We start from the raw sequence: 14,737 nt of genomic DNA on the forward strand, positions 1-14,737 counted from the left end.
AAGTTGGGAATCTTTCTTCTTGTGTTTGTAGTTTTGGAGTTTTTAGATTTTAGAATAAATGGTAGATGAAAACTACCTTGGTCACTTTGTCTTCCAGGGAGCACAGATGAAGTAGTTGGCTTGTGGCAGTGTTCTTCAAACTTGGATGTGCATCAGAATCACCAAGAGGGCTTATTAAAGTTTCTGATCCAGTAGATCTGGAGCGGAGCCTGATAATTTGCATTTCTAACAGATTCTGGGTGATACTGATGCCCCTAGTCCAGGGCCCACACTTTGAGATGGTTGGTTTGTAGTTAGGGACCATGTTGCAGGAAAAATATTAATTGCAGGATTAATTAAGGTGAGATGCACATAGCAAGAGAGCATATGGACAGTGGGTTTAACTGGGAAGAGCAGATTTGCACCTCTCACCTCATGATCGAGTCCAGGCATAGGCTTCATGAATAAAACAGTGGATGGAATTGTCTACGTTAGTGATATTTTTGTCTTAAAAATCAAGTGCATATAGTTGAATTTATGTATGTTAAATTTGTGTCTGGGCTGGGCACGGTGGCTCACACCTGTAATCTCAGCACTTTGGGAGGTGGAGGCGGGCGGATCATCTGAGGTCGGAAGTTCGTGACCAGCCTGGGCAACATGGTGAAACCCTGTCTCTACTAAAAAAAAAACAAAAACCAAAAACAAAAATTAACCAGGCGTGGTGGCGGGCGCCTGTATTCCCAGCTATTCAGGAGGCTGAAGGAGGAGAATCGCATGAACCCGGGAGGCGGAGGTTGCAGTGAGCTGAGGTTGTGCCACTGCACTCCAGCCTGGACAACAGAGTGAGACTCCATCTCAAAAAAAAAAAAAAAATCGTGTCTGATGAAAAACATTGTGTGTTTCTTGGCATAGTAGGCACCTGTTTTATCTTCCCTTCTGGGTTGCACTCAAACCCCTTGAGAGTTGTGGTTGTGCTTTCCTCCTCAGAGGGTTTGTTTCTTAGCCTCAATATATATAATTGGTGCTTAAAAACACATCTGATATCTACTACATGACAGACTAAAAGTGACTCTAAATTTCTCTGCCTGTTTTTTTTTTTCTTGCCTAAAGACGGCAATGTCTGTCTTTTTGGGATTGTTTTGGCCTCAGCATTTTGCTTTGTGGATTTTTGTTTAAAAATGATTGATAGGCCCGGTGCGGTGGCTCACACCTGTAATCCCAGCACTGGGAGGCCAAGGTGGGTGGATCACCTGAGGTCAGGAGTTCGAGACCAGTCTGACCAACATGGTGAAACCCCATCTCTACTAAAAAAAAAAATACAAAAATTGGCTGGGGGTGGTGGCATGTGACTGTAGTCCCAGCTATTCAGGAGGCTGAGACAGGAAAATTGCTTGGACCCAGGAGGTGGAGGTTGCTGTAAGTCGAGATTGTGACACTGCACTCCGGCCTGGGTGACAGAGTGAGACTCTGTCTCAAAAAAAAAAAAAAAAAAAAAAAAAAAAATGCCAGTTTTCAGAAGGGTTGTGGCGGTTATATAAAATTGGGAATCACATTTTGACAATAGCTCTGTGTAGAGGGAATTAGCTTCAGCCTTACTGTTATTCTGGTATAGCATGCATTCTTCTAGCATCTTTAACACCTATAAAGAGCGAGTCAGAAGAACAAGTAGTGAGTCTGGATTTCTTAAGAGCTGCTTAGAGATGAATGGCAGAATGGGGTAGAGAAGGGAGAGTATTGAACTGGGGATTGGTTAGTGGATAGCCACATATGTCTTCTGGGAACACCAAAACAGAAAGGTGTGGGAGCAAGGGCTGTGAAACGATCCCTGTTTTGAGATAATTTACCTTATCTACCATTCTAAATGTTACATCTGTTCTGGATTAACCTGTGCTTCTAGCCAAGTGTTGGGGGAGGCAAATGATAAATTCATTGTTTCTAGGATTGTGTCAGATAACTATAACAGGAGGCAAAGAAGAGACCAGAACCAGATTTCTTCATGGCCAGTTTGTTTGAGCAATGAAGTTACTTAGGAGCATTTTTTAGTCCTTTTAGGAAAATACTGGAAAATGAAAAGCTTTAGGTGTGAGGATCTCCATGTGCTCAGAATATCCAAGCCAGTGAAATCCTTCTCACTTAATTTTTTCTTTCTTTGAGATGGGGTCCTGCTCTGTCTCCAGGCTAGAGTGCAGTAGCATGATCATGGCTCACTACAGCCTTGAACTCCTGGGCTCAAGTGATCCTCTCGCTTTAGCCTTCTGAATAGCTGGCACTACTAGAGGTGCTGGGTGCAAACCACATGCAGCAAGTTTTTAAATTTTTTTGTAGAAACAGCATTACCTTATGTTGCCCAGGCTGGTCTCAAATTCCTAGGCTCAAGCGACAATCCTCCCACCTCAGCCCCCAAAGTACTATGATTACAGGCATGAGCCAGTGTGCCGGGCCTATCTCCCTTTTTAAATCAGTGGGAGTTACATGTGCTTTGAACTTTGCGGAAGCAGGACGAATAATGGGAAATAAGGAAATACTTTATTTTTTGCTTTTGGTGTAAGCAAACATTTCATATCAGTATCCTGTTTCTAAAGTTAATGGCTTTACTGTTGAGATTTGCAAAAATAAAAAATACGTATTATCTTGTATCTAATTATGTGATTTTCCTCCTATTTTCTAGGAGGTGTGATTGCCTATATCAGTTCTTCCAGCTCAGCCTCAAGCCCTGCCTCTTGTCACAGTGAGGGTTCTGAGAATAGTTTCCAGTCCTCCTCCTCTTCTGTTCCATCTTCTCCAAATAGCTCTAATTCTGATACCAATGGTAATCCCAAGAATGGTGATCTCGCCAATATTGAAGGCATCTTGAAGAATGATCGAATAGATTGTTCTATGAAAACAAGCAAATCGAGTGCACCTGGGATGACAAAAAGTCATAGTGGTGTGACAAGTAAGTTACTTTGGTTTTCTAAAGATTGCTGCCATTAATTGCAAATGGGGCTTATTTTATCAGCTTTTCATTTAGGTGGCCATTATGTTTCTGGGTACAGTTTTCACTCCTTGCTGGGTAATCATACATCAGTAGTTAGGGAAGAAATCAGTGATGATGATAGAAGTTATAACCTAGGGGCTGTCATTAATTCTTGCCTCAGAGCAAGACATGTGATTATGTACTCTGCCTGACCCTGGTCCCTCTAGGGTACCCTCTTTTACTACATTTCACAGTTACTTTTCTTCTGAACTACTAGAACTAAGTCTTGTTTCTAGAACAGAGTACTTGCTCATTGTGGGAAGGGGTTACGTTAGTGAAACTGGATTTGGGAATATTTGGGATGAGGAAATGTTGGATTGGGATAACCAAATGAGTAGGGGGATTTGGACCTATCTGGCCTCTGTAGGTGAAGTAAATTGACACAGCTGCCTGTGGAGAGATATCCCTTTCCACCTTTTATTGATTGACTTCTCTGTCTGAATTCTTAATTGTTATCCAGAGAATTGTTTTCTTAGTTCTGGTTGCATATCTGGTATAAAGTAACTCTAAATTTACAAAATTTCTTATTTCCTGCTGACAGGTCTGGAAAAAAAATAAATTTACAAAATTTCAGTGTAATTCTAAAATCAGGAAAGGAAAAATCCGGGTCAGCGAGGTATTTTTGTCAGTGCCATAAGTTGTATTTAAAAGAAAATTATGGCTGGGTGTGGTGGCTCACACCTGTAATCCCAATATTTTTGGAGGCTGAGTGGGGCGGAGTCCAGGAGTTCAAGACCAGCCTGGGCAACATGGCAAAACCCCATCTCTACTAAAAATACAAAAATTAGCTGGGTGTGGTGGTGCATGCCTGTAGTAGTCCCAGCTACTTGGGAGGCTGAGGCATGAGAATCACATGAACCTGGGAAGTGTGGAGGTTGCAATGAGCTGAGATCACGCCACTGCGTTCCAGCCTGGGCGACAGAGGGAGACTCTATCTTTAAAACAAAACAAAGCAAAACAAAAAAAAAACACCGTAAGAAAATTATGATTGTGATTACTTTTGATTTGAAAATATTTTTCTTTTACATTATGAAAGTAGATGTGTATCTTCTAAAAGCTCTTACACGTTGAATGAAATAAAATATCTAATTGGAAAGAAAACAGACTCGGTGTTTCCTCCTACTTTTTACTTCGTGTCCTTTTGTGTCCTAGAATTTAGTGGCATGGTTCTACTGTGTAAAGTCTGTGGGGATGTGGCGTCAGGATTCCACTATGGAGTTCATGCTTGCGAAGGCTGTAAGGTAAAGCATGCTTTTGTTTCTTTAAGCTACTGATTCTGGGATTTAAGAAGTTGGGTTTAGATTTACCCATTTGTGCAATTGATAGTCTGAGAGACAGTGAGAAGTCAGCTGCTCTTTTTAAGTTTTAAGCATTTTATGTAGTGTATAAGCATAACTTGTTTTGAATAATATTCTTAATTCAGTGAAAGTATTTCTTTTTTCTTTAAGATTTTGAACAAAGTAAATTTGCTATCTCAATTAAACATACTTATTGTGTTAAACCAAGTGCACCAAATGCTCATTCATTAATGTGTCAAGCACAGTTCTAGGTGGTAGTGAAATAACAAGGAACAAAACAGAGAAGGCACTACTTCTGCCTTGTGGGAACTTAGTTTAAACCAAACTTTGAATTAGGATCTCATCATATACTTTGACTTAATGACACGTCAGGTACTGGGAGCTGGGAATAATTGCTACATACTTGAAAAAAATGTGGTATCTTAAAAAATAATGCCAAGTGAGTAAAATAATCCTGAATATAAGTTGAGCCCTTGGGAAAGCTAGTTTATTTGTAAGTTTAGTTGACTATTTTCTAGTTATTGCTATTAGAGTATTGGTCAAATAATTCCAAGTGAGATGGTCTCTACCTCCCTACCTATATACAGGGAATCTTTCTCTCTTTTTAAAAAACTTGGCACAATCTTTTCTCCTGAGTATCAAAAATTAACGTGATGAAGACACATGTTCTTGCTGTTCTCTGACTTGAGGCCACAAGCAAGAATCTAGTTTGGCGAGATATGATGGGTAAACAAGATAATGAATATACATGATGGGAGAGGAAATATTTTCAAGTGTGGCTCTGAATGAATTGCGAGTTTGCCAGTTTTTTTTTTTTTAGATGGAGTTTTGCTCTTATTTCCCAGGCTGAAGTGCAGTGGTGTGATCTTGGTTCACTGCAACCTCTGCCTCCTGGGTTCAAGTGATTCTCCTGTCTCAGCCTCCCGAGTAGCTGGGATTACAGGCACACGCCACCACTCCAGGCTAATTTTTGTATTTTTAGTAGATTCGGGGTTTCATCACATTGGCCAGGCTGGTCTTGAACTCCTAACCTCAGGTGATCTGCCCGCCTCGGCTTCGCAAAGTGCTGGGATTACAGGCGTGAGCCACGCGCCCTGCCAAGTTTGCTAACTTTTAATGGCCGGGTAACTTTGTAAGACAAGTCAGTATTTTTTATAGATGTAGCATTTTTTTCATTGTTTAAAAAAGATTCTCCTTCTCTATATATCTTTTTTTTTTTTTTTTTTTTTTTTTACAAAAATGTGAAGTAATAGGCCAGGTGCGGTGGCTCACGCCTGTAATCCCAGCACTTTGGGAGGCCGAGGCGGGCGGATCACGAGGTCAGGAGATCGAGACCATCCTGGCTAACATAGTGAAACCCTGTCTCTACTAAAAATACAAAAAAAAAAAAATTAGCCGGACGTAGTGGTGGGCGCCTGTAGTCCCAGCTACTCGGGAGGCTGAGGCAGGAGAATGGCGTGAACCCGGGAGGCGGAGCTTGCAGTGAGCTGAGATTGCACCACTGCACTCCAAGCCTGGGCGACAGAGCCAGATTCCGTCTCAAAAAAAAAAAAAGTGAAGTAATATTGGGGAAGGCATTATTCTTACTTTATAGCTAGAAAATAAAAGCACAAACTGAATGAGCTGATTGCATATTCTTGATAAATACACATCTGTGCAGTACTCTTAAAATGTCTAGTTCAGCTCTTGTAGTATCTAAGTCAAGTGTATAGTATCACAATAATAAAATATAAAAATGTTGTGTCCCATGACTACTTAGTATAGATTCGGGAAATGTGTTTAGTTGTCATATAAAAGGAAAATGCAGTTTAAAATAATTTCAGTAATTGCATTCTTGAGTTTTCTGTCCTCCCTGGTACCATGAAACTGGAGATCTTTGGAGACCTATCACAGAACATGTACTGGAATTGTTTGTGTGTGGAGTAAAGGCAGCTGTTTGTAGCCATCTAGTTGGGAACTGTCTTTCCTTGGATAGTTAGCTACTCTGTTGGTGTGTGGTGTAACACTTACCTGTTGCTGGCACGTAGTCAGTGATTTCTGTCATGTATAAGTAGGCCTTGCCATTGTCAGCAGGTAATGATCCTGGAAAGACCAACTTCTGTTAATGTAATCCACAATCTAGTGAGGGGATTATAGCTATCAAACATATTTCTCAGTCCACTTTTTAAGAAGTAGTCATTTAGGCTGGGTGCAGTGGCTCAGGCCTGTAATTCTAGCTCTTTGGGAGGCTGAAGCTGTAGGATTGCTTGAGGTGGAGTGTGAGACCCACCTGGGCAACATAGGGAGACCCTACCTCTACAAAAAATAAAAAAGCTGGATGTGGTAGCACATGTCTGTAGTCCCAGCTCTTGGGAGGCTGAGGCAGAAGGATTGCTTGAGCCCGGGAGTTCGAAGTTGCGGTGAGCTATTATTACGTCATTGTACTCCAGCCTGGGTGACAGAGCAAGACCCTGTCTCTTTAAAAAAAAAAAAAAAAAAAAAAAGCCTGGACATGGTGGCTCGTGCCTGTAATCCTAGCACTTTGGGAGGCCAAGGTGGGCGGATCAGTTGAGGTCAGGAGTTCAAAACCAGCCTGGCCAACATGGTGAAACCCTGTCTCTACTAAAAATACAAAAAATTAGCCAGGTATGGTGGCACGTGCCTGTAATCCCAGCTACTGGGGAGGCTGAGGCAGGAGAATCCCTTGAATCTGGGAGGTGGAGGTTGCAGTGAGCTGAGATCGCACCACTGCACTCCAGCCCGGGCTACAGAGCAAGAGTCTGTCTCAAGAAAGCAAGCAAACAAACAAACAAAAAATCAGGTCCGGAGTGGTGGTGGCTTACACCCTGTAAGTCTAACACTTCGGGAGGCCAAGGCTGGCAGATCACTTGAGCCCTGGAGTTCAAGACCAGCCTAGGCAACATGGCAAAACCTCATTTCTACAAAAAATACAAAAATTAGCTGGGTGTGGTGGCGCATGCCTGTAGTCCCAGCTGTTTGTGAGGCTGTGGTTGGAAAATTGAGCCAGGGAGGTCAGGGCTGCAGTGAGCTGTGATCATGCCACTGCACTCTAGCCTGGGCAACAGAACGAGATCCTATCTCAAAAAAAAAAAAAAAAAAGAATCAGTCATTCATACTTCAAGAGTTTTGGAATTTGTAGTGAATAAAAGTATGAGATGGAAAATGTGACTGCAGGCAGGGTCTGGTAACAGGGTAGTGTGGTTGTTGCAAGGGGTGTTTTGGGTAAGGACAAAGAATCTCTGAAGGGAAGAAGAATTTTGTTTGGTTAGTAGGTGTTAGGTGCTTACTCATACCAATAAGAATCGAAATTAAATTCTGTGTGTCAACATTGTATTTCCCTCTGTCCTAAGACATAGTGTTTCCCAGATAGTGAGTCATATACTGGGACTGTAGTTCGTCATATACACTAGATAGGTATGGGAGCAGTGTTTATAAGAAGTTCATTTGGGTGTTTTTAAATGGGTAAGTAAATCTTCCTTTGTTCTTAGGGTTTCTTTCGGAGAAGTATTCAACAAAACATCCAGTACAAGAAGTGCCTGAAGAATGAAAACTGTTCTATAATGAGAATGAATAGGAACAGATGTCAGCAATGTCGCTTCAAAAAGTGTCTGTCTGTTGGAATGTCAAGAGATGGTATGTTCCCAGTTTAAAGAGTGTTCCTAAAGTGTATGGAGCTTGGCTTTTATTCCTCATCATGAACCAGAGCTATAAACCGGTTACCAAGGACCCTCTTGTATTTAAGGTGAAGCAGAAAACATATTTTCATGCTTTACAGGACACCAAATTGATTAAAGTCGTATTTTAGCATTATCATCCCAGAAACAGTTTTTGGCTAAACTTCTGTTGTTGTTGCTTCTTCTAAAAAGAGCCATTTTTTTTCTGTGCAATTTGATTACTTTTTATTTTTTCCTAAAACCAATGGAGTTTAAAAACATTTTTTATATGGCCGGGCATGGTGGCTCACGCCCGTAATCCCAACACTTTGGGAGGCTGAGGTGTGTGGGTCACTTTAGGTCAGGAGTTCCAGACCAGCCATGGTGAAACCCCATATCTACTAAAAATGCAAAAAAAAATTAGCTGAGCGTGGTGGCATGCACCTGTAATCCCAGTTACTCGGGAGGCTAAGGCAGGAGAATAGCGTGAACCCAGGAGGTGGAGGTTGCACTGAGTTGAGATCGTGCCACTGCACTCTAACCTGGGTGACACGGTGACACTCTGTCTCAATGTAGCCTCTATCTCCCAGGTTCAAGTGATTCTCCTGCCTCAGCTTCCTGAGTAGCTGGGATTACAGGTGCCCGCCACCACACCTGGCTAATTTTTGTATTTTTAGTAGAGATGGGGGTTTCACCATGTTGACCAGGCTGGTCTCGAACTCCTGACCTCAAGTGATCCACCTGCCTCGGCCTCCCAAAGCGCTGGGATTACAGGTGTGAGCCATCAGGCGTGGCCAGGAGTTTTTTGAGTAACAGATTTCAGCAATTGATGTTTTGTTTTTTCAATTCCCTGAAATTTTTTTTATAGTGCTAAAAGTACTAATGCTATAAAAATAGTTGATGGATATTGTGATTGCCCTGAAAGAATAAAACTGACAATCATTTGTGAAGGGAGGAGTAGAGATAAAGTATCAAACATGATTAAGTTGTTTGTTTTTGGTAGCAATAATGTTAGAGGCTACAATTAGATTAACGAGGCTTTCTGGGCAAGTATACTGAATTTTTATTATCTCTGTGTAAATACTAGACTGTGAAAGAAGCTTTTCTTTCTCTCATGGATAGGATTATTGGAGACAAGACACCTTCTAAGACTAGCTTCTAAAAGAATAGAGGATGACTTATCTCATTTTTACTTATTTCACTGGTTTTAATTAAAATCTACCAAGTTTATTTTTCAGTAAGTGCATTTCTACTGATTGTGGAATTTTTTTTAAGGATTTTTTTTTTAAAGAGGCTGGAAAAGAAGACAGCAGATAATTTCATAGTTAGATCTTGAGAGCAAAGTTACAAAAATGAATTGACAAGGGCCAGGTGTTCAGGGAATGATTTCACCTACCAGATTCCATTAATGGTAATGGATGTGTGTAGCTGAATCACACATGCCTTGCTGGGAACAGTCCTCAGCTTTGTTAGTAAGGAGCTGTGTAGTAATACTGGTCTGCTTCAAACTGGTTTTCATTAGCTAATTTCATATTTCTTTTTTCTTTTTCTTTCTTTTTTTTTTTTTTTTTTTTTTTTAAGATGGAGTATTGCTCTGTCACCTAGGCTGGAGTGCATTGGCACCATCTCGACGCACTGCAACCTCTGCCTCCTGGGTTCAAGCGATTCTCCTGCCTCAGTCTCCAGAATAGCTGGGACTACAGGCGCCCGCCATCACACCTGGCTAGTTTTTGTTTTTTTAGTAGAGACGGGGTTTCACCATATTGGCTAGTCTGGTTTCGAATTCCTGACCTCAGGTGGTCCACCTGCCTCAGCCTCCCAAAGTGCTGTGATTAGAAGCATGAGCTACTGCACCCATCCGAATTTCCTATTTCTTTTCTTAGACTTTGCTTATAAAATACCTAGGAGGTAGATGTCCTTAACTTTGTTGTGGGGGGAAAATAGAAAATTTTCTCTCCCTCTCCTACTTCCTTTGGTGCATCAAGACCAGCAAGTTTAGAAAAATGTGGACCAGAGACATGTAGACTCATTCTTTATATGTATGACTAGAGGCCATAACTGTTGGATAATTTTGTGTTATTCTTTTATACAAAACAGGTCTTATTTAGAATATAGACGTTAAATATCTTTTTCTTCAATAGCTGTTCGGTTTGGTCGTATTCCTAAGCGTGAAAAACAGAGGATGCTAATTGAAATGCAAAGTGCAATGAAGACCATGATGAACAGCCAGTTCAGTGGTCACTTGCAAAATGACACATTAGTAGAACATCATGAACAGACAGCCTTGCCAGCCCAGGAACAGCTGCGACCCAAGCCCCAACTGGAGCAAGAAAACATCAAAAGCTCTTCTCCTCCATCTTCTGATTTTGCAAAGGAAGAAGTGATTGGCATGGTGACCAGAGCTCACAAGGATACCTTTATGTATAATCAAGAGCAGCAAGAAAACTCAGCTGAGAGCATGCAGCCCCAGAGAGGAGAACGGATTCCCAAGAACATGGAGCAATATAATTTAAATCATGATCATTGCGGCAATGGGCTTAGCAGCCATTTTCCCTGTAGTGAGAGCCAGCAGCATCTCAATGGACAGTTCAAAGGGAGGAATATAATGCATTACCCAAATGGTCATGCCATTTGTATTGCAAATGGACATTGTATGAACTTCTCCAATGCTTATACTCAAAGAGTATGTGATAGAGTTCCGATAGATGGATTTTCTCAGAATGAGAACAAGAATAGTTACCTGTGCAACACTGGAGGAAGAATGCATCTGGTATAGTGAAATCGATTTTTTGCTTACATTGTATCAGGGAAAGCTTTGAAAATTTTCTTTTATTCGGGAGATATGCTAACTTGGGGGGATGGTGTCAGGAAACCTAAGAAATTTACAGACTTAATTTTGTACAGTATTTTAGGTCAAATAATTTTAATAAACATCTTCTGATGAATGACCTAATTTCACACCCAGCTAGGTACAAGCATGTGATTTGATTGATCTGAGATTGGGATTAGGATTTTATGTAAAATATGATTCATGCAGAATTGGTCCTTTAATTCTTGGAAATCCCTTTGAAAATTTAAGCATTCTGGTTAATTAGTACCTTACTAGCTTTGGGATTTTCTCAAAGGGCCGAACTTTTCGCTTGCCATAGTTAGAAATTCTTTGATTTCTATAGAAAGAGGTTTTTTTTTTTTTTAACCATTATTATGCAAGAAGGTCTTTGGATATAGAACATAGATGTTTTATTGTTTGATAAATTTAGGAGTATTTTAATTTCATAGGCTAATTTCTAAGGATTTTCTCAGACTTCATCTTATGAGATGACTTAATGTTGGTCATATCATTGAAGCTTTTCTATTTTTCCATCAAATACGACATTCTACATCAAAGTACAGTGTTCATATTCAGCCAAAATTTCACCAAAAACAGCAGTACCACACCATTTCCAGTTTAAACCATGAAGTCCTTTGATAGTGCTTGGTATTTTCTACTGACAGGTAATTAAAGTCGTCTTTTTCATTTTCAAAATAGTTGACTCTACCTCAATCTTCATTAAAATTTTTGTTGTCACTTGGAGTTATTTGATTCTGTGGACCTTATGTTAGGCTAAGTCGTTGCTTTTTTGTTTTTTTTTTTGAGACATTCTTGCTCTGTTGCCCAGGCTGGAGTGCGGTGGCGCGACCTCAGCTCATTGCAACCTCCACCTCTTGGGTTCAAGCAATTCTCATGCCTCAACCTCCCAAGTAGTTGGGATTACAGGCATGCATCACCATGCCTGGCTAATTTTTGTATTTTCAGTAGAGACAGGTTTCACCACGTTGGCCAGGCTGGTCTTGAATTCCTGGCCTCAAGTGATTCACCCACCTCGGCCTCCCAAAGTGCTGGGATTACAGGCATGAGTCACCACGCCTGGCCAAGTGGCTGCCTTAATGAAGGAAAAATCTGTGGGCATTTTGGTTCTGATTTCATGATATTCTCTATGGTTTTGTAATCATCCCATTCCTAGATTTTGTATGGATTTAGTGAAAATTTAAAGGCTGATTTTACTAATAGAATATACAGGTGTGTTTCATCATCTTTTTGGTGTTTTTTTTTTTTTTTTAATAACTTCTTGGCTTCCTATTTTCCCTCACGCAGTCGTCATTTAGAAGACACACCTGTATCTGCAGTCCTTGTTTCCTGATTGAACAAGTAGAAGTCAGTGATCACAGCATTGTTTTTGAAATAAATGGGCAGTGACTTTTTTTTCTTTTTTTTTTTTTCGAGACGGAGTCTCACTCTGTCACCCAGGCTGGAGTGCAGTGGTATGATCTCGGCTCACTGCAACCTCCGCCTCCCGGTTCAAGTGATTCTTCTGCCTCAGCCTCCTGAGTAGCTGGGACTACAGGCGCAAGCCACCACGTCTGGCTAATTTTTTTAATTGTTGGTAGAGACAGGGTTTCACCATGTTGGCCAGGCTAGTCTCGAACTCCTGACCTTGTGATTCGCCTGCCTCGGTCTCCCAAAGTGCTGAGATTACAGGCGTGAGCCACTGCGCCCGGCCAGGCAGTGAGTGACCTTTTCAACAAAATGAGGCACCTTGCTGTTTTTTCTTCTTGGAAATTACAACATTGTAATTCTACCTATATAGAAATAAAGGAGTTTGGAAATATTAACTAAATGTGAATTTGGGCCTAGGCTTGTGACTTCTGGCTGTGTTGGACAAATCACTAAACCTCTCAGAGTCTCATTTCTCCACCTAAGAAATGGAAATTATAATCTGCCATGAATAATAGATTGAGAATCAAACAATTGAATTTGTTTGCAAAATTATAAAACACCATATACTAGCATAAGGTGGCAGCAGTGTTACAAAATAAACTCTTAAACCTGTGCAACAGGTGTTTGAAATAGCTTGTTATAGATGATATTTTTGCTTAGGCTTTTTTTTAATGATAAGTTAATTGCTATTTATATTAGGTTGCCAAGAGGCTTTCTACAGTATGGTGGGCAGCAAATGGATGAAGTGCTAATATCTCAGTAGATTTTACTTGTGTTTTGGGGGTTAAATTCATGTTGGGGTTTCTGATAATTGAGATGCTGCTTTTGACATTTCTTTACCACCTCTTAGTATTTAAGAGTTTTTCCGTTTTATGTATACTAGGTTTGTCCAATGAGTAAGTCTCCATATGTGGATCCTCATAAATCAGGACATGAAATCTGGGAAGAATTTTCGATGAGCTTCACTCCAGCAGTGAAAGAAGTGGTGGAATTTGCAAAGCGTATTCCTGGGTTCAGAGATCTCTCTCAGCATGACCAGGTCAACCTTTTAAAGGCTGGGACTTTTGAGGTAGGTTTTATTTATCCTGAATATTGATGCAGGCAGGGCATGTAGTATTTTATTTTCATGGATGTTTTAATTCTTTTTTTTTTTTTTTTTTTTTTGAGACAGAATCCTGCTCTGTCACCCAGGCTGGAGTGCAGCAGCGCGATCATAGCTCACTGCAACCTCTGCTTCCTGGGTTCAAGCATTCTCCAGCTTCAGCCTCCTGAGTAGCTGGGACTACAGGTGTGAGCTACCACGCCCGGCTAATTTTTTTTGTTTTTTTTTTTTTGTAGAAACAGGGTTTTGCCTTGTGGCCCAGGCTGGTCTCAAACTCCTGAGCTCAAAGCGATCTGCCCACTTTGGCCTCCTAAAGTGCTGGGATTACAGGTCTGAGCCACTGTGCCCGGCAGATGTTTTCATTCTTTTCTAAGTCAGTATTTATAGTCCAGAGTCTGAAACTATCAACAAAATAATCATCATCTCAGGATTTTGGGAACAGACTTGGGAGACTTGGTAAATCCAGAATTGTTTAGGATTTTATATATATTTTTTACTTATTATTTAGGATTTGAAATATAGGTATTCTGTATCTACAGCATATGAACTCCTGAGTTCTAGTATTGCTTTTAGATGTGGACTTAACAAGTTTCTGCAGTGTTAGACACCTCCTGAAAGCCTAGCCTAGCATTTACTGTATTCGATACAGAATAAGAAGGGCAAATAGAATGTGATTTCGTTTTTCGAGAGACTGTAGAATATTTTGGGGATATATCAGACATTTCTTATGTGCCACCTTAGCTCTTCCTGGTTTCACCTTGCTTCAGGATCCTTGGCTACTTTTCTGTCCCGCTTCTCTTGCAACACTGTATCCTGCTTGGGCTTGGGGTAGTCTCTACTGTATAACTTAACAGATGTGCCTCTCCTGGTCCTTAGTTAGGTGTCTTTCACCTTCTGTCTGCCCCAGGGCATCCCTTTTGCTGCCAAGGTGTGAGATGCCTTGGGACCTAATTAAGGACAACTCTGAGATTGGGGTGGTGAGAGGAAGTTGATGTTTGGTGGGCCAAATCTTTGAACCTTTTATGGATGGAAGAAGTGAGCCAGGGCTATATTTTCACTTCTCCCTGGATTTATTATAACGGAGGGAGTGAGATAACTAAGTAATATAATTGTTAACCGATTTAACTTGGATGTCAATTATAACATGGTGCTTAGAACACTTACTGTGATAGCTTTCTTTGTGGATAGTCTCTTTGGGTGTTGGTTTCTTGAAGCAGTTCAGTTAGACTTCATCTGCTTCCTTTGCCTTGGCTGCATTTGATGTGTTGATGTTTCGAAGTGTTGCTGCATTGGAATTTTGCTCTTTTTACTTAAGGCATAGAGGCCATGTGTTATACTTGGCAGCCTAAAGAGATTCTTTAATGCCTTTGGCCAGGGCCCAGTTTTAAATTTACTGGCACTATTTCTTGCTCTAATTTTATATTGCATTTC

The 14,737-nt window shown here is 40.7% G+C and overlaps 1 protein-coding gene across 4 annotated transcripts in view; it reads left to right on the forward strand.

The window, feature by feature from the left end:
* Window positions 1-14,737, forward strand: part of NR1D2 (nuclear receptor subfamily 1 group D member 2) — a 35,332-nt gene that overhangs the window by 6,604 nt on the left and 13,991 nt on the right. For 3 of the 4 annotated variants that reach the window (NM_005126.5, XM_006713451.4, NM_001145425.2), the window contains exons 2-6: window positions 2,648-2,914; window positions 4,148-4,236; window positions 7,782-7,926; window positions 10,088-10,716; window positions 13,088-13,273. In NM_005126.5, the coding sequence (NP_005117.3) occupies window positions 2,648-2,914; window positions 4,148-4,236; window positions 7,782-7,926; window positions 10,088-10,716; window positions 13,088-13,273 (1,316 nt within the window). Of the gene's footprint in view, window positions 1-2,647; window positions 2,915-4,147; window positions 4,237-7,781; window positions 7,927-10,087; window positions 10,717-11,334; window positions 11,442-13,087; window positions 13,274-14,737 lie in introns of all 4 variants that reach the window. The other variant, NR_110524.2, reaches the window with a different exon arrangement.

The sequence above is a fragment of the Homo sapiens genome, chromosome 3, assembly GCF_000001405.40.
Source record: "Homo sapiens chromosome 3, GRCh38.p14 Primary Assembly".
NCBI classification, from domain to species: Eukaryota; Metazoa; Chordata; class Mammalia; order Primates; family Hominidae; genus Homo; species Homo sapiens.